Source organism: Homo sapiens, chromosome 13, assembly GCF_000001405.40.
Source record: "Homo sapiens chromosome 13, GRCh38.p14 Primary Assembly".
Lineage (NCBI taxonomy): Eukaryota > Metazoa > Chordata > Mammalia > Primates > Hominidae > Homo > Homo sapiens.
Window position 1 is genome coordinate 55,050,809 of NC_000013.11, and position 21,238 is coordinate 55,072,046.

The window sequence follows — 21,238 nt, forward strand, 5'->3', positions numbered from 1 at the left end:
ACCTTTATTATAGCACAATTCACAATTGCAAAGATATGGAATTAATTTAAATGCCCATTAACAGATGAGTGGATAAAGAAAATATGGCACAGATATGTGTGTGTGTGTGTGTGTTTATGCACACAGATATGTGTGTGTGTGTTTATGCACACACATACACCACACAATATATTTGTGTGTGAATATATGTGTGTGTATATATATATGTAGACATGGAATATCTATATGTGTGTGTATATATATACATATACATACATAGACACACACACACACACACACACACACACACACACACACACACCATGGAATGCTACCCTCCAGCCACAAAAAAGATGAAATAATGCCTTTTGCAGTGACTTGGATGGAACTGGAGGCCATTATCCTAAGTGAAGTTACTCGGAATGGAAAACCAAATACTATATGTCTTTTTACTTATAAGTGGGGGAGCTAAGCTATGGGTATGCAAAGGCATATAGAGTGGTATAATAGATACTGGAGATTCAGAAGAGAGAAGGAAGGGAGGAGGGTACAGGATGAAACATTATCTATTGGGTACAGTGAACACTATTCAGGTGATGGGTGCACTAAAAGCCCCAGATTTTACCACTATACAACTCATCCGTGTAACCAGAAACCACTTGAATCCCTAAAGCTATTGAAATAAAAAAAAATATTCCCCTTTCTCTTATTCAACACCGTTCATTGTTTTTAGGGCTCACTTAAGTCCAAGATGATTTCATCTTGAGATCCTGAACTAATAATATCTGCAAAGACTCATTTCAAAATAAAATTATTTTCTGAGGTTTCAATGGACATCAGTTTGGGGTGCACACTGTTCAACCCACTACAATGGACTCAGTACAACCAAAAGAGGTTCTTACCTGAGGCTAAATTCCTAAGTGTGTCTGTGATATTTGACTGAGATGATTATGCTATGTACAAGATTTCACTTACTCCTCTTGTTTTCCACCTTATTTTCCTCACATTCTCTCTAGTACCTGCTACATTTGGGCCCTTTTCAAATTTTATTTTTATTTTTTCAATTTTTCCAACAGTTTTTACCCTCCTCTGTAATGTCTTTATAATATATTATGAGCATATTAGGGTTCTCTATAGAGACAGAACTAATAGGAAAGATGTAGGAGTTTATTAAGGAGTACTGACTCGATCACAAGGTGAGGTCCCGCAATAGGCCGTCTGCAAGCTGAGGAGCAAGAAAGTCAGTCCAAGTCCCAAACATGAAGAACTTGGAGTCTGATGTTCAAGGGCAGGAAGCATCCAGCACAGGAGAAAGATGTGAGCTGGGAGACCGAACCAGTCTAGTCTTTCCACATTCTTCTGCCTGCTTTTATTCTGGCCATGCTGGCAGCTGATTAGATTTTGCCCACCAAGATTGAGGGTGGGTCTGTGTTCCCCAGCCCACTAACTCAAATGTTAATCTCCTTTGACAACACCCTCACAGACACACCCAGGAAGAATACTTTGCATCCTTCAATCCAATTAAGTTGACAGGCAATATTAACCATCACAATGAGTTACATTTTTCCCACATTTTAATACACTAAATGTATATCGCTCACTTTGTTTTTCATCTTCCATAAATTTGTTAAGATCTCTCACTTTTTGTCTCCCCAGCCTCCTCCTTACATTATCTTGTCATTGTCTGAGTTGATTCCTTTTTGAATTTCTATATTTTAATTGCAATGTGGTTTCCCAATGGATAATAGAGTACTTAACATTTCATTTGAGACTAAAAATTTTATTTTCCAGTTGTTAAAGCTACTTTTGTTTTCTTGTTTTGCTATAGGAATTGCCTTTCCATTGTGTTGCTTTGCTTTTATGAGCATGTTTCCCTTAGTATTTTCCAAGACCCATCTTCAAATTTTCTTTCTACTGATTGATTTTTAACTTAATATCATAATGCTCTTTATTTCCCATTATGAAAAATGGGAAAAATGAGAAAATTAGTTCATTTATATTTCCTCATACTTCTCCTTCAAGCTTCCTTTTCCCCACTATTTATTAATTATATTTACTATTTTTAGTACTTTTCATAGTTCTTTTCAAAATTATAGCAGACATTCTTGTTTATTAACTTTATTAAATTTAGATGCCTTTTTGGCCCAACACCTCAGCAAGAAAAATGAGAAACCATATGCACTTACATATGGTGTTCTCTGTTGTCTTCTATTTTATGTTTTTTTAATTATTGTATTTAACTATCAATATCATATTTACTTTTTATTAAATATAATTTTCATGGTTGATTACTCTTGGTAATGGCTACACCAGGCATTTCACCATACTTGGAGAGAATTTCTTTCAAAATTAGCTGAACTTTAAAATCTTTTAATGCAAGCATAATGAGGTCAGCAGAGAGGAAAATGAGAGGAGGTGATAACTCTAGTAGAAGTAATGTCCATCAGTGAAAGGCAGGGCAGATATTCCAAAAATACAGGGAGGAAAGGAGGAACAGAATGAGAGTACAGGCAATTTTAGTGACTGATAGTAAATGGTCAAGGAAGAGCCCACCTAACGCTATTTTTTTAAAACTGTGAAAACAATACCATTATATCCTGAACGGAGGGCAATGTTTGCCGGCTCAGGATCTGGGAATGAATAGAGAATGTGTAAAAGAGAGAATGAACATTAAGAAATGTTGTGTGGGCCTTGAATACACATACCAAAGACATAAAAATGGCGAACAAGTATATGAGAAGATACTCAACATCAGTAATCATCAGGAAAACACAAATTAGAAATACTATGAGATGCCACCACATACCTATTAAGACAGTTGTCATCAAAAAGATAAGAGATAATGAGAGACAGGACTAGCTGGATTTCCTAGGCCGACTAAGAATCCCTAAGCCTAGCTGGGAAGGTGACCGCATCCACCTTTAAACACGGGGCTTGCAACTTAACTCACACCCAACCAATCAGAGAGCTCACTAAAATGCTAATTAGGCAAAAACAGGAGGTAAAGAAATAGCCAATCATCTATTGCCTGAGAGCACAGCAGGAGGGACAAGGATCGGGATATAAACCCAGGCATTCGAGCCGGCAACAGCAACCCCCTTTGGGTCCCCTCCTTCCTATGGGAGCTTTGTTTTCACTCTATTTCACTCTATTAAATCTTGCACTGCACTCTTCTCGTCCATGTTTGTTACGGCTCGAGCTGAGCTTTTCGCTCGCCGTCCACCACTGCTGTTTGCCACTGTCGTAGACCCGCCCCTGACTCCCATCCCGCCACTGACTCCCATCCCTCCAGATCCGGCAGGGTGTCCGCTGTGCTCCTGATCCAGCAAGACTCCGGTTGCCACTCCTGATTTTGCTAAAGGCTTGCCATTGTTCCTGCACGGCTAAGTGCCTGGGTTCGTCCTAATTGAGCTGAACACTAGTCACTGGGTTCCACGGTTCTCTTCCATGACCCACAGCTTCTAATAGAGCTATAACACTCACTGCATGATCCAAGATTCCATTCCTTGGAATCCGTGAGGCCAAGAATCCCGGGTCAGAGAACACAAAGCTTGCCACCATCTTGGAAGCGGCCCACCACCATCTTGGAAGCGGCTTGCCACCATCTTGGGAACTCTGTGAGCAAGGGCCTCAGGTAACATTTTGGTGACCACGAAGTGACCTCCAAAGCGGTGAGTAATATTGGACCACTTTCGCTTGCTATTCTGTCCTATCCTTCCTTGGAATTGGAGGAAAATACCGGGCACCTGTCGACCAGTTAAAAACGATTAGCATGGCCGCCGGACTTAAGACTCAGGTGTGAGACTATCTGGCGAAGGGCTTTCTAACAACCCCCAACCCTTCTGGCTTGGGGACGTTGGTCTGGTCGGAGCAGCTTCCACTTTCAATTTTCATGGGGAAGCCGAGGGCCGACTAGAGGCAGAAAGCTGTCATCCCGAACTCCTGGCAGTAGCCGGTTGAGATCATGGCGCAGCCAGAATTCTCTACTCAGTAGATGCCCATCCGTGCGCCCCTACCTTTCCCTTCTGATCCATACCTCCTGGGTCCCGACCATGACTTTCTTGAAAGCATAGCCCCCAAATTCTCCTTACCTCTGAATCTACTTCCTCTGATCCTTGCGTCCTAGGTACTAATGGTTCAGACTTTCATTTCCTCTAGCAAGTTGTATCTCCAAAGGGATCTCAGGAAGCTCTATGCTGTGTCCTTAGGCATCTAGGCTGTAACCCAGGGAGTCTTATCCCTGGTGTCCCTCCCGATTTAGGTATACAGCTCTCGACATGGGCAGTTATGTGGGACCCATTCCCCACCACCCTTGCCAGGGGCCCAAGTCTGTAATGGCTAAGAGAGAGATGGAGAGAGAGAGACAGATGGAGAGAGAGAGAGAGAGAGACAGAGAGAGATGGAGAGAGAGAGACAGAGAGAGAGAGAGAGACAGAGAGAGAGACAAAGACGGAGTCAAAGAGAAAGAAAGAAAAAGATAGAAATAGTAAAAAGAAAAGTGTGCCCTATTCCTTTAAAAGCCAGGGTAAATTTAAAACCTGTAATTGATAATTGAAGGTCTTCTCCATGATCCTATAACACTCCAATGCCACTTTGTTGTCAGTGTAAATAAGGGCGTAGCCCGAAAGCACTGAGGCCACTGACAACCCATAGCTTTCCTATCAAAAATCCTTAACCCAGTAACCCACGGATGGCCAAATGCATTCAGTCGGTAGCGGCAACTGCTTTGCTAAAAGTAGAAAAGTAACTTTTAGAGGAAACCTCGTTGTGAGCACACCTTACCAGTTCAGAATTATTCTAAGTCAAAAAAAAAAAAAAAAAAAAAAAAAAAGCAAAGGTAGCTTACTAACTCAAAAATCTTAAAGTATGGGGCTATTATTTTAGAAAAGGGTAATGTAACTCCAACCACTGATAATTCCCTTAACCCAGCAGATTTCCTAACAGGGGATTTAAATCTTAATTACCATACAAAGGTCTGACCAGACCTAGGAGGAACTCCCTTCAGGACAGGATGGTAGATGGTTCCTCCCAGGTGATTAAGGAAAAAAACCACAATGTGTATTCAGTAATTGATACAGAGACTCTTGTGGAAGCAGAGCTAGAAAAATTGCTTAACAATTGGTCTCCTCAAACGTGCGAGCTGTTTGCACTCAGCCAAGCCTTAAAGTACTTACAGAATCAAAACACTACCTCAATCCTGACTCCAAAGATTCGCTACATCCTCTCTGGAATGAATTTGCATAAGAACTATTGTTTATGGGGATGCATCTTCATGGGGCAGCTGGGTTGTTATGAAATACTCGGGAACCCGGCCCAGCTCTAGGACTCACTCCTGAGCACAAAGGCAATGTTGGGCACGCTGGTAAAGGATCACTAGAATCCTGCAGCCCGAACCCCTCTCTTTGTGGTCAAGAGAGGCGCTAAAATAGGTGCAGGGCTGCTACATTGGTGAGCATAACTAATCTGATAAGCAGAGGTCCATGGGTGGTTACGCACCCTGGAAAAGAATAAGCATTAGGCCCTTAGAGGACGCTCTAGGACTAATGCTTATCGGAAAATGACTAGGGGTGCTGGCATCCCTATGTTCTTTTTTCAGATGGGAAACGTTCCCCCCACCCCAAAGCAAAAATGCCCCTAAGATGTACTCTGGAGAATTAGGACCAATTTGACCCTCAGATGCTAAGAAAGAAATGACTTATAGTCTTCTGCAGTACTGCCTGGCCACAATACCCTCTTAAAAGGGAGAAACCTGGCCTTCTGAGGGAAGTATAAATTATAACACTATCTTACAGCTAGACCTCTTCTGTAGAAAGGAGGGCAAATGGAGTGAAGTGCCATATGTGCAAACTTTCTTTTCATTAAGAGACAACTCATAATTACGTAAAAAATGTGGTTTATGCCCTACAGGAAGCCCTCAGAGTCTACCTCCCTATCCCAGTGTCCCCCCGACTCCTTCCCCAACTAATAAGGACCCCCCTTTTACCCAAATGGTTCAAAGGAGATAGACAAAGGGATAAATAATGAACCAAACAGTGCCAATATTCCGATTATGCCCCCTCCAAGCAGTGGGAGGAGGAGAATTCGGCCCAGCCAGAGTGCATGTACCTTTTTCTCTCTCAGACTTAAAGCAAATTAAAATAGACCTAGGTAACTTCTCAGATAACCCTGATGGCTATATTGATGTTTTACAAGGGTTAGGACAATCTTTTGATCTGACATGGAGAGATATAATGTTACTGCTAAATCAGACATTAACCCCAAATGAGAGAAGTGCCGCCACAACTGCAGCCCGAGAGTTTGGCAATATCTGGTATCTCAGTTAGGTCAATGATAGGATGACAACAGAGGAAAGAGAATGATTCTCCACAGGCCAGCAGGCAGTTCCGAGTGTAGCCCCTCACTGGGACACAGAATCAGAACATGGAGATTGGTGCCGCAGACATTTGCTAACTTGCATGCTAGAAGGACTAAGGAAAACTAAGAAGACTATGATTTATTCAGTGATGTCCACTATAACACAGGGAAAGGAAGAAAATCCTACTGCCTTTCTGGAGAGACTAAGGGAGGCATGGAGGAATCATACCTCTCTGTCACCTGACTCTATTGAAGGCCAACTAATCTTAAAGGATAAGTTTATCACTCAGTCAGCTGCAGACATTAGAAAAAAACTTCAAAAGTCCACCTTAGGCCCAGCGCAAAATTTAGAAACCCTATTGAACTTGGCAACCTCAGTTTTTTATAATAGAGATCAGGAGGAGCAGGCGGAATGGGACTAACGGGATAAAAAAATAAAAGGCCACCACTTTAGTCATGGCCCTCAGGCAAGCGGACTTTGGAGTCTCTGGAAAAGGGAAAAGCTGGGCAAATTGAATGCCTGATAGGGCTTTCTTCCAGTGCAGTCTACAAGGACACTTTAAAAAAGATTGTCCAAGTAGAAGTAAGCTGCCCTCTAGTCCACGCCCCTTATGTCAAAGGAATCACTGGAAGGCCCACTGCCCCAGGGGACAAAGGTCATCTGAGTTAGAAGCCACTAACCAGATGATCCAGCAGCAGGACTGAGGGTGCCTGGGGCAAGTGCCAGCCCATGCCATCACCCTCACAGAGCCCCTGATATGCTTGAACATTGAGGGCCAGGAGGTTAACTGTCTCCTGGACACTGGCACGGCCTTCTCAGTCTTACTCTCCTGTCCCGGACAACTGTCCTCCAGATCTGTCACTATCCTAGGGGTCCTAGGACAGCCGGTCACTAGATACTTCTCCCACCCACCAAGCTGTGACCGAGGAGCTTTACTCTTTTCACATGTTTTTCTAATTACACCTGAAAGCCCCACTCCCTTGTTAGGGAGAGACATTCCAGCAAAAGCAGGGGCCATTATACACCTGAACATAGGAGAAGGAACACCTGTTTGTTGTCCCCTGCTTGAGGAAGGAATTAATCCTAAAGTCTAGGCAACAGAAGGACAATATAGATGAGCAAAGAATGCCCATCCTGTTCAAGTTAAACTAAAGGATTCTGCCTCCTTTCCCTACCCCCTCAGACCCAAGGCCCAACAAGGACTCCAAAAGATTGTTAAGGACCTAAAAGCCCAAGGCCTAGTAAAAGCATGCAATAGCCACTGCAGTACTCCAATTTTAGGAGTACAGAAGCCCAACAGACAGTAGAGGTTAGTGCAAGATCTCAGGATTATCAGTGAGGCTGTTGTTCCTCTATACCCAGCTGTACCTAGCCCTCATACTCTGCTTTCCCAAATACCAGAGGAAGCAGAGTGGTTTATAGTCCTGGACCTTAAGGATGCCTTTTTCTGCATCCCTGTACATCCTGACTCTCAATTCTTGTTTGCCTTTGAAGATCCTTCAAACCCAACGTCTCAACTCACCTGGACTGTTTTACTCAAGGGTTCAAGGATAGCCCCCATCTATTTGACCAGGCATTAGCCCAAGACTTGAGCCAATTCTCATATATGGACACTCTTGTCCTTCGGTATGGGGATGATTTAATTTTAGCCACCCATTCAGAAACCTTGTGCCATCAAGCCACCCAAGCGCTCTTAAATTTCCTTGCTACCTGTGGCTACAAGGTTTCCAAACTAAAGGCTCAGCTCTGCTCACAGCAGGTTAAATACTTAGGGCTAAAATTATCCAAAGGCACCAGGGCCCTCAGTGAGGAACGTATCCAGCCTAAACTGGCTTATCCTTATCCCAAAACCATAAAGCAACTAAGAGGGTTCCTTGGCATAACAGGCTTCTGCCGAATATGGATTCCCAGGTACAGCAAAATAGCCAGGCCATTATATACACTAATTAAGGAAACTCAGAAAGCCAATACCCATTTAGTAAGATGGACACCTGAAGCAGAAGCAGCTTTCCAGGCCCTAAAATAGGCCCTAACCCAAGCCCCAGTGTTAAGCTTGCCAACGGGGCAAGACTTTTCTTTATATGTCACAGAAGAAACAGGAATAGCTTTAAGAGTCCTTACACAGGTCCGAGGGATGAGCTTGCAACCCGTGGCATATCTGAGTAAGGAAAATGATGTAGTGGCAAAGGGTTGGCCTCATTGTTTATGGGTAGTGGCAGCAGTAGCAGTCTTAGTATCTGCAGCAGTTAAAATAATACAGGAGATCTTACTGTGTGGACATCTCATGATGTGAACAGCATACACAGTGCTAAAGGAGACTTGTGGCTGTCAGACAACCATTTACTTAAATATCAGGCTCTTACTTGAAGGGCCAGTGCTGCAACTGCGCACTTGTGCAACTCTTAACCCAGCCACATTTCTTCCAGACAATGAAGAAAAGATAGAACATAACTGTCAACAAGTAATTACTCAAACCAACTCCACTCGAGGGGACCTTTTAGAGGTTCCCTTGACTGATCCTGACCTCAACTTGTATACTGATGGAAGTTCCTTTGTAGAAAAAGGACTTTGAAAAGCGGGGTATGCAGTGGTCAGTGATAATGGAATACTTGAAAATAATCCCCTCACTCCAGGAACTAGTGCTCAGCTGGCAGAACTAATAGCCCTCACTCGGGCACTAGAATTAGGAGAAGGGAAAAGGGTAAATATATATACAGACTCTAAGTATGCTTACCTAGTCCTCCAGGCCTATGCAGCAATATGGAGAGAAAGAGAATTCCTAACTTCTGAGGGAACACCTATCAAACATCAGGAAGCCATTAGGAGATTATTATTGGCTGTACAGAAACCTAAAGAGGTGGCAGTCTTACACTGCCGGGGTCATCAGAAAGGAAAGGAAAGGGAAATAGAAGGGAACTGCCAAGCAGATATTGAAGCCAAAAGAGCTGCAAGGAAGCCATTAGGAGATTATTATTGGCTGTACAGAAACCTAAAGAGGTGGCAGTCTTACATCAGGAAGCCATTAGGAGATTATTATTGGCTGTACAGAAACCTAAAGAGGTGGCAGTCTTACACTGCCGGGGTCATCAGAAAGGAAAGGAAAGGGAAATAGAAGGGAACTGCCAAGCAGATATTGAAGCCAAAAGAGCTGCAAGGCAGGACCTTCCATTAGAAATGCTTATAGAGGACCCCTAGTATGGGGTAATCCCCTCCAGGAAACCAAGCCCCAGTACTCAGAAGAAAAAATAGAATGAGGAACCTCATGAAGACATAGTTTCCTCCCCTCAGGATGGCCAGCCACCAAAGAAGGAAAAATACTTATGCCTGCAGCTAACCAGTAGAAATTACTTAAAACCCTTTACCAAACCTTTCACTTTGGCATTGATAGCACCCATCAGATGGCCAAATTATTATTTACTAGACCAGGTCTTTCAAAACTATCAAGCGGATAGTCAGGGCCTGTGAAGTGTGCCAAAGAAGTAATCCCCTGCACTGCAGGCCATACATTTCAATCCCTGTATCTTTAACCTCCTTGTTAAGTTTGACTCTTCCAGAATTAAAACTGTAAAACTACAAATTGTTCTTCAAATGGAGCCCCAGATGCAGTCCATGACTAAGATCCACTGCGGACCCCTGGACCGGCCTGCTAGCCCATGCTCCGATGTTAATGACATCGAAGGCACCCCTCCTGAGGAAATCTCAACTGCACAACCCCTACTATGCCCCAATTCAGCAGGAAACAGAGCAGTCATTGGCCAACTTCCCCAACAGCACTTGGGTTTTCCTGTTGAGAGGGGGGACTGAGAGACAGGACTAGTTGGATTTCCTAGGCCAACTAAGAATCCCTAAGCCTAGCTGGGAAGGTGACCGCATCCACCTTTAAACATGGGGCTTGCAACTTAACTCACACCCAACCAATCAGAGAGCTCACTAAAATGCTAACTAGGCAAAAACAGGAGGTAAAGAAATAGCCAATCATCTATTGCCTGAAAGCACAGCGGGAGGGACAAGGATCGGGATATGAACCCAGACATTCGAGCCGGCAACAGCAACCCCCTTTGGGTCCCCTCCCTTCCTATGGGAGCTCTGTTTTCACTCTATTTCACTCTGTTAAATCTTGCAACTGCACTCTTCTCGTCCATGTTTGTTACGGCTCGAGCTGAGCTTTTCGCTCGCCGTCCACCACTGCTGTTTGCCACTGTCGCAGACCCGCCCCTGACTCCCATCCCGCCACTGACTCCCATCCCTCCAGATCTGGCAGGGTGTCCACTGTGCTCCTGATCCAGCGAGACTCCCATTGCCACTACCGATCGTGCTAAAGGCTTGCCATTGTTCCTGCACGGCTAAGTGCCTGGGTTCGTCCTAATTGAGCTGAACACTAGTCACTGGGTTCCACGGTTCTCTTCCATGACCCACAGCTTCTAATAGAGCTATAACACTCACCACATGATCCAAGATTCCATTCCTTGGAATCCGTGAGGCCAAGAACCCCAGGTCAGAGAACACAAGGCTTGCCACCATCTTGGAAGCGGCCTGCCACTATCTTGGAAGCGGCTTGCCACCATCTTGGGAGCTCTGTGAGCAAGGACCCCCGGTAACAATAACAAGTGTTGGTGAGAGTGTAGAGAAGAAGAAATCCTTGTACACAGTTTCTGGGGATGTAGATTGGTTCTGCCATTATGGAAAAAAGTGTGAAGGTTCCCAAATAAAGATAGAACTACAATATGACCGAGCAAATTCTCTTCTGGGTATATACCCAAAGGAAATGAATTCACCACCTCATAAAGATAACTGCCCTCCCATGTACATTGCAACATTGCTTCACAATAGCCAAGATATGGAAACAACCTAGTGGCCATTGATGGATGAATAGATAAAGAAACTGGTACATATATATGATGGAATATGATTCTGTCTTACAAAAGAAAAAAAATCCTGTCATTTGCTACAACACGGATGAATGTGGAGGACAAAATGTTAAGTAAAATAATCCAGACACAGAAAGAAAAATATTGCATGATCTCACTTATATGTGGAACCCCAGAAAAAGCCAAATATACAGAGATACAGTATAAAGAGTGGTTATTAGAGGCAGGCTAGAAGAAATATAGGACGTAGGTCAAAAGATATAAAGTAGCATTTACATAGAGTGAACAAGTCTCAAGCTGTGATGTACCACATGAGAACTATAGTTTATAAGAGTATATTGTATTCAGGATTTTAAATAAATGAGTAGATGCTGCTGTTGCCACATACATACACACACACACACACAGACAAACAGGAACGGATAACTATGTGACATAATAGATACGTTACTTCAACATAGTAATCATTTTACTATCTATAGGTATTTTCTCCTTACATCATGTTGTATACTTTAATTATACACAATAAAATGTATTTAAAAAAGAAAAATGTGGGAAGTCAAAGAATAAACTGACAAGAAAAATATAGCACTGTGAGCCGGGATTTAAATGCTTAATGAAGTCAGTGAGCATGCTTTTAAACATGATTTTGTAATGGCACTTAAAAAAAAATAAATTATTTGTTCTTTTAGAGATGAGTTCTCCCTCTGTTGCTGAGGCTAGAGTACATGGTACAATTATAGCTCATCGCAGCCACTAACTCCTGGGCTTAGGTGACTCTTCCTCCTTAGCCTCTCCAGCAGCTAGATCTACAAGCACATACCACCACACCCAGCTAATTTTCGTGCTCTTTTTTTGTAGATGCGGAGTCTCACTGTGTTGCAAATTCCTGACCTCAAGTGATCTTCCTGCCTGGGCCTCAAAGTGCGGGGATTATACGCAGGGGCCACTGCTTTCAGCCTTTAAATTCTGTTAAAAACAGCGTTGGTGAGGTATGGAATTATTATATGCCATATGCTTTACGCTACTGTTAGTGGGTCTTGTAAAGATCCTATCACATTTGTCTTATAATTCTCATTTTACATATGAAGGAATTAACACAACATTGAAGTATTGCCAAAACTCACAGTTTGAAAGTCAGCATATATTTTGTTATGCATCAGAAATAGTAAAATAAAACTTATATGCCTCTAATAAATCTATTATTTCAAAAAAATTACTTGCACTTGCTTTATCACAAATGAAGTTTAAAAACACATAAACAAAAATAGAAAGTAACTTGGGTCAAAATCCCCAGAAATCATTTTTTTTGATTATGTTGCCACCAATAAGCAATATACTTTATACAAACTTTTTGCCCAGACACCAAATTACTATTATCACTAGATCTATTCAATATATGCTACTAAATTTTGTTTAATCTGTTCACTTAGATGAGTCTTTTAAAAAAATTACCTATAGGCCGGGCGCGGTGGCTCACGCCTGTAATCCCAGCACTTTGGGAGGCCGAGGCGGGCGGATCACGAGGTCAGGAGATCGATACCATCCTGGCTAAAACGGTGAAACCCCGTCTCTACTAAAAATACAAAAAAATTAGCCGGGCGTAGTGGCGGGCGCCTGTAGTCCCAGCTACTTGGGAGGCTGAGGCAGGAGAATGGCGTGAACCCGGGAGGCGGAGCTTGCAGTGAGCCGAGATCCCGCCACTGCACTCCAGCCTGGGCGACAGAGCGAGACTCCGTCTCAAAAAAAAAAAAAAATTACCTATAATGAGAAGGTGAGCCAAAGCAATTCTGTGCTTCATATGGTGTTCATAATTTGGCATACTACAATCATGAAAAACCCCAAAGCATGGGTTTTTAAGCAGATGTCTTGCTTGTATAGGTTCATAATACATTGGCAGATTTTTCATCATAAACTCTAAGACTTCCTGCGTTTCAGTTAGGTGGAAGAAGAGACAGGCCTGATAAATGTCTAGGAGAAAAAATAAATCAGTGCAGCTGTGACCCAGGTCAGAATTATTCTTAATATTCACAATTGATTTCTGGAGAGCAGCTTGTATATAATATTACCAGCTGCTCCTTTAACAAGTGTGTGCACATTTTGGCAACTACAGATTTTGTAATTTGCTCCACTCACATGAAAACCAAAAAAAGGTGAAATTATCTAGTATGCTTTTCTTTTTTCTCTTCTTAGTTTATTTTACAATAATAATGCTTTATAGCATATGCACTGTAAGCAAGAGTAAATTAAGAATGATGTGGCACCTGAGCTACAAATGAGCCTCTTTCAAGTTAGGAGGCATATCTTAATTAAAAATTGGATGAATGGTAAAGATAGACCTCTCAAAGACTTTGTTTTTGTTATGAATCTCTGTAGAGATATTTTCTATTTCATTTTGCTAATCCATTTATGTACTTTGTTTATAAAGTAGACACGGGATGAAATTATGTTATTTCAGATTCAACTATGAATGGTTTAAATCTGCAATGAAAGGCAGTATAATTATGCATGTTTTAATGGAGGTGAATAGTACAAAGCAGTGAATATTTCTTATGCAAGGTGGTACTGCTCTCTCATTCCAAATCTCTTCAGAGTTGGTTTTTATAGATTCCTGCTCAGAGCCTGAAGGATGAACTAGGAGACCTTTTGACATCAACTCTTTCTATGTGTGAACTCCTAACACTGAAAAAACACCAATTAAGAAAATTCAGTGATACAAGTTGACTATTACATAAATGCATTCAAAAGGGAGACAACTTAAATAGCTTGATTTAGCCATTCCATAATGTATACATATATCAAAACATCAGGCTGTGTGGCATAAGTACATTCAAGTTTTACTTGTCAAGGAAAATAAATTAATTTGTAAAAGGATGAACAGAATCACATTATGATGAATACAGAGAAACTTTGGGAAAATACAGACTTTGTATTTACAACTTACTAATTACAAGCTATGTTTTCTTCAAAAACCCATTCTTTCTAGGTTTCATTTGTAAAAAAGAGGTTTATATGCATGAACTTAATAGGATTTCTGAAATATAGCCTCAAATACTTACAAAATAAAATAGATTATGTTCCACTTTTGTAAAATACACTTATTTGAAGCATTTTGAAAGCTAAATGATATGAGTGTTAATGGGAGAGCACTTGTAGGGGTCATACGAAGAATCCCCGTATAAGTAGTAATAACTGAACAATAATCAAACCTTATCCTGAGTATCTGAATATTCAAAGAAATAGTAGGAAGGATCAATTTTAAATTTATATTTTGCTTGTTTTAAAAATATTTTTTCTACTATTAATATTAATTAAAAATAAAAACGTCAAAATTTTTGTCATTGATTTCTAGGGGAGGCATGTATTTTTTAATAACTTCTAATTAAATATATATACATATATATATTTACAATATATAGCCTCTGATTTGGGAGAAGGATTAGGGGAAGATATGACCTGATTTTATTAAAATTCAAGTGAGTTAAAGAGTTATATTAATTAGCTAGAGCTGCCATAACAAAATGTCACAGACTGAGTGACTTAAACTACAGAAATTTGTTTTCTCACAATTCAGGAGGCTAAAAGTCTGAGATCAAGATGCCAACAGGGTTGATTTTTTCTGAGGCCCTTTTCCTTCACGTGTAATTGGACTTCTTTTTCTCCCTGTGTCTTCGTATGGTCTTCTGTGTTCATGTCTGTGTCTTAATCTCCTCCTCTTATAAGAACACCAGTCAGATTGGATTAGCGCCCACTCATATGACCTCATGTAGCATTAATTACTCTTTAAAAAAACTCTACAAATGCCATCACCTTTTAAGATACCACACTATGAATTCTTTGGGTGTTGAATTATTATGTTCCAAATAGTTAACCTTTCCAATACTCAGCAATGCTTTATATGAAACATTTTGGGAGAAACTTGATGATTTGTACCTTGTATATTAATCATTATAAAATATTGCTTTTTAGTCTCTTCTATTGCCATAGTTTTCAATTTATCATAACAATATTGCTACCAATGCCTTTTTCTGAGTTTCATATTCAATTGTCTAGCGCTTTATCCATTACATGATAATCAGTGGTGCCATGTCACTTTTATTTTAATTTCTTAACAATAGAATATTGCTGTTTTTTTAAAGCTCATTTGGAAGTTTATTCATTGATTTGTTTATTTGTTTTGAAACTTCAATTATTTAAACACTTTTGATGGCTTCACATTGCATTAAGAATTAAATTCAAGTTCCTTACTCTGGCCCACCTGGCCCCAGCTGATCTCGCCTCTTTCTACATATCTAACTATATTTCTCAATGCCTCATCTCTCATTTTACCATGAGCGTATTTCAAAGCCTTCCTCTTTATTGTCAGTTTCTCTGTGTACTCTGCCTAGAATTTGCCCAGTGTTACCTCTTCCCAGACTGAACTTTTACAAACTGTTGTCTTTGTTGTTCTAGTGTTATCATTCAGATTTCAGCTTGTATATCTTTTCACAAAAGCATTTGGTGACCTCCCTGTCTGTCACTCAGCCCAGCTCTTGTTTTTAAAAAGTTGCCAGTCATTTTCTATCACACTGCTATTCCTTATTTCCTTCACAGCCCAAATCTGAAATTGTCTTGGTTTATTTCTATATTAGCATTGCCCAATAGCATGTTTTGCAATGAATGATATGCTCTATATCATGTACCACATGGGGTAATGTGGTAGCCATTAACCACATATGTCTATTGAGCACTGGAAATGTAGCTACTGAGACTGCAAACTAAATTATTACTTTTATTTCATTTTAATTCATTTAAATATAAAATAAAGAAGCCACATGTGGATGCTGGTTACCGTATTAGGCAGCACAGTTCTGTCTCCTCTGTTAAATCCAAAATTCCATGATGATAAGAAATTTTTCTGTGCACAGTAGTAATCTATGTAATATGGTACTGAGAATATTCATACCTGGGAATGGCAAGTATACAAAATATTTGTGAAATTAATGAATGAATAAATTGATAAATTATAGGAACATATATTCATTTTTATTGTGGTTATAAATATGTTCTGTTTGAATCCTGCTTTGTAATCTAAGATCCGTGTGATCATCTTTCTTCTTTCCCTTCTCCTGACTTTAGTAAAATTGACCATATCTTTGCTTTCAGGTTTCCTCATATATGATGAAATATTCTATTAATAATTGTTAATATATATTAAATTTTAATAATTAACTCCATCCTCTTTTCCAAGTGGTTTACATATGTTAACTCATTTGATCTTTACAATAACCATATGAATTGGGTTTCATTATTACTCCCATTCTACAGAGATAGAACCTGAGGCACGAGGTATTTAAGTAACATATCCAAGTTACCTAGCTCATAAATGAGTGAGGGAGGCTGCAGAGTCCAGTCTCTTAGCCATTATTCTATATTGCATCTCACTTGAAAACCTTTATTCTCTTATAGTAGTAGCTATCCTTAAATTGACAAACATATTTGAAATTATTTAACATTATATTGAAATGTAAATATTAAGAAATTAAGAGTATTTATAAAACAAGACAAGATCTTGATGACACATTCTTTTCTAGAATTTTTTTGTCTTTTACTGGAAGCTTCATCCCAGTCTGACAGTTGTGCTGCTTAAATAACTTGGAATTGAAAAAGGCTGAAAAAGAGGAACAGAGAAAGAGATAAAAGTTGCCTCTGCTTAGCCTTTGAGCAGGCTTGATTTTAAGAGAATGTGGAGAACAATATAAGCCACATACTATCCCTGTGGGCTCTTTCTTCTCTTCCAGGCCAACTTATCCCAAATATTAGTATAGTGAACTCTGCTATTATTCCATCATACATCTATACTGACTAATTGGTAAACAAGTAAAGCAAATTTGTTATATTATTACATGATTTATTAATGCCACTGCACTATTTAGAGTCAAGAGAGAAATCAACTGCTTTGCAAAAACCCTAAAATTTCAAAAACACTCATGTCTGGAAGTACATATTTTTACAAAATCCAAATTCATGTTTTGGATCCACTTGCAGTTTTAACTTGTCTTTTTGAAGCTGTCTGTGTCAAAGTTCTGCCTATATTCTTTCCCAAATTAGTCTTTCCCTCCACCATTTATTTATATGTCATTAGTGGCATTGTAACTTCAGTTTGGAGCCAGCACAGTTCATTCTTAAAGCCTGTTTATTTCTTTTTTTGTAATGACGCTAAAGCTAGTTGATATTCTTCCAAATGTGCAGAAAATATGGTTCTGAGATAAAAATTGTATAAAGAACCAAATGTTTCCTTTTTGTTATTTCTTATAAATATCATTTGGTTTTAATCTGACCTTTGCCATTCTTATTTTGATTGATTATGCAAGCCTCTTTTTACCTCATATTAACTTATTTACTTCTGAAATACTATTTGAATTAAATACTAATATATTCGATTAGTTTTATTCTTCATCATTTTACTCCCAAGATATGTACATACATAAATAGAAATGTAGAAATATATACATTCAAATCCAGATGGATTCAAGTGTTGCTTGGCAAAGATAATATTTTAAAACTCTCAGGAAATGTAGGTGAATAATTTTTAGACCTGATGTAGGGAAGGATTTGATAAGTAAGATGTAAAAAAAAAAAGTTTGATATATTTGACCATATTAAAATAAAGCACTCTTAAAGATAGTAAATATAAAGGTTATAAACTGGGAAAGCAATTTAAACAGATATAACCATCAAAGGATTCATATAAAAATACATAAAGAATCATCCCAAGTCAATAAAAGTGGTATAAAAATCTGGGGAAAAAATGGAGGAGAAATACAAACATACATTTCAAAGACTAGGAAACACACATGTCCAATTAATATATAAAAAGACACACAATCTTCAATTACAAAAATCTAGTTGTCTTCTTTATTTTTATTTTACTTTAATTTTCTGTGGCACTGAATGATGGTTTCACATTTCTTGGAATCTCTTTGCTTTACTGACTTGCAGTAGTATATGCTCAATCACACTCCTTCGTATGTCGGACAGATTCCTTCCTGTTACAACCTCTTGCCTATTCTTAGTTCAATAGTTTCATTTAACAAACTTGTCTTACACACCTTTTATATCCCAGTCACTACATTACTCATGGATGATAGGAAATGAAAAAGACATACTCCTTGTTATCCTTGTCCTCGAAGTGCTTATGATCTAGTGAAAGAAGACAAGGACAAAACAGATAAATTTCAGCATCAACTTCCTCACCCAATCATTCTACCAAACTAATGTGATATATGACCTCTTCTGTGAAACTATCTGGAGCTTGGTTGTCAGCTGTCACAGATAATGTAGGTGCCGAGGATACCACTATTGATTTGTATTTGCTATTTTCTTTCTTTTTTTATGATGGGGGTGAAACTTTACATTGTCTATGATAAGGAAAAATAACAATTATAAAAATCATGTTCTAAATTTTATAATAAATTTTAAATGTATATATACAATTTTAATGCAAATAAAATCAGTAACAGAGACATCAAAAAGGAAATAACAGTGGACTAAACCATGATGGGCAAAATAGGCATATTGATAAGGGTTGCTGGTTAGATATGCGAGATACAAAAATAATTGTTTATGTTGATTATGTGTAGAGAAATTAAGACCAGTTTGTCTCCAGAGAGATATTTGGCATTTGCAATGCATAAACTTTTTTCCAGTCAACTAGAAATCATGAGAAAAGAAGTAGCAACCATTAAAAAATATGAGCAACTTTAAGCTCTATTAATGCTAAAGTAGGTTGTTGTTTTACATATTAATCATATCCCTTGCCCTTGAGGATTTTGAAATATTGTGAGGAAAGAAAAAGATGAATATTATATAACATAATTTCAAAACTGCACTGGGTTAAGAGAGGTGAGTCACAGATTATATTGCTAGGTTACAAAATTCATCTTTTAATGGCAGAAATACCTATGTATGGCTCTGCTTTAGTTCTTGCACAAAAAGGAGTTAGACATTTCATCATCTCTTGGAATTTATAACCTGGCAGTAACCATATGTCTAGTCAAATGAAGTCTCAGAAATTGTCCAACTGTAATTTTATTCACATTCTTCAGTTGCAGATGAATAGCGAAAATTAACTGTATGGATAAGGATGCACTATTTTCATTACTTGTAAATATATGCTTGGCAAATAATATAATTAGTGGTCTCAACACAGTGCTTTTGGAGAAATATTCAAAGAGAAGGCTTTCAAAAACTAGTAATTATGTAGGCTACAAATACTAACTAGAAATAACCTGAAATTTGACTTTACTTTTTAATGTTAAATTTTTCAAGAATATGACTTATTTATTTTTAATTAATTCAACAAATGTCTATGTTACTACAGCTTACTTTTTCCTAGATACTAAGTACAATGCTGTTGAGCATGTGTGTGGTGAGTATGGTGTGGTGAGTGGGTCATTAAGAAAATGTTTCCACATCGAAAAACTCATAGTTTAGTGGGAAAAAAAAGTCATGTGAACAAATCGCAACCCAACGAGAAAAATAGAAGTGTGTATGTAGTGCTATGAAACTACTGATGGTTTAGAGGTTAAATGAGCCTTAGGGAAATAAGCAAACCTTTCATAGGAGTGATATTTGAGCTGGCACTCAAGGTTGATTATGACACTAAGTGGACATTGGAAGAACATTTCAGGCTATTTTCTTTCATCCCAGTGCCACTATTTCCCACAAACAACTCCATTCTCAATTATTGCTGTGCTTCTTTAGTGCTGGGCCTCAACACTTAGTCAAACATCCACAATCCTCTTAATGTTGACTCACTATTGACAATATCTAAAACTTTTATGTCGTGTTGAGTGTAGTACCATTTTTAACTAATGCTCTCTCACTACAATTATTTCTGTTTTTTAAAAAATATATTGAATTTCCTATGGATTCCAGGAACTCAGCTTTTCATTGTGGGGAAATTTGCCTATACACTTTCAGTACAAACTGCATGTTCCTTCCGAGCCCCAAGCTCTATGGCTCATGCTACTCACTCACTCTTCTTCCCCCAATAGTTTTTTTCTTTTCTTTTCTTTTCTTTTCTTTTCTTTTTCTTTTTCTTTTTCTTTTCTTTTCTTTTTTTTTTTTTTTTTTTTTGAGACAGAGTCTTGCTCTTTCACCCAGGCTGGATTGCAGTGGCCCGATCATGGCTCATTGCAACTACCTTTCCCTGGGCTCAAGCCATCCTCCCACCTCAGCCTCCCAAGTAGCTGGGACTACAGGCACACCACGCCCGGTTAATTTTTGTGTATTTTGTAGAGATGGGGTTTCACTACATTGGGCTCAATCAATCCTCCTGCCTAGGCCTCCCAAAGTGGTGGGATTACAAGCATGAACCACCACTTCTAGCCTTGTAATGTATGTAACTATATCTATATGTGTGTTTTCTTTATTTTATGTATGTATTTATTTATTTTTTGAGACGGAGTCTCACTCTCTAGCTCTGTCGTCCAGGCTGGAGTGCAGCGGTGCGATCGCAGCTCTCTGCAAGCTCCACCTCCCAGGTTCACGCCATTCTCCTGCCTCAGCCTCCCGAGTAGCTGGGACTACAGGCGCCTGCCACCACGCCCTGTTAATTTTTTGTATTTTTAGTAGAGACGGGGTTTCACGGTGTTAGCCAGGGTGGTCTCGATCTCCTGACCTCGTGATCCGCCCGCCTTAGCCTCCCAAAGTTCTGGGATTACAGGCGTGAGCCACTGCGCCTGGCCCTTATATGTGTGTTTTCTTAATGAGCAAACTATTACTTAGATTTATACATTCCTCACTGAATGCCAAAAGTGATTAGAAAATGTATTTATGCCCACAAAAGCAAACTTGATAGCATGAAAAACGTACATTTCAAAATGCCCCTAACTTTTCATTTTGTTTTGTAATTTTATTACAAAACGTTTTTTGCAGGACCCTTTTGCTGCCAAATGGAAACTTGATTCTTTCGATTGAGATGGAAAAGTTTATTTCTAAAGATTTCAAAACTTGAAGAAAAGTTAGGTTAAGAAAAAGTGTGTACATAAAG

The 21,238-nt window shown here is 39.2% G+C and overlaps 1 long non-coding RNA gene across 1 annotated transcript in view; it reads left to right on the top strand.

Annotated features, from left to right (window-relative positions):
- The first annotated feature begins 2,998 nt into the window (after positions 1 to 2,998).
- Positions 2,999 to 21,238, top strand: part of LINC02335 (long intergenic non-protein coding RNA 2335) — a 128,930-nt gene continuing 110,690 nt past the window's right edge. Inside the window, exons 1-2 of the long non-coding RNA NR_186625.1 lie at positions 2,999 to 3,650; positions 12,064 to 12,194. This is a non-coding gene — a long non-coding RNA (long intergenic non-protein coding RNA 2335). The remainder of the gene's footprint in view (positions 3,651 to 12,063; positions 12,195 to 21,238) is intronic.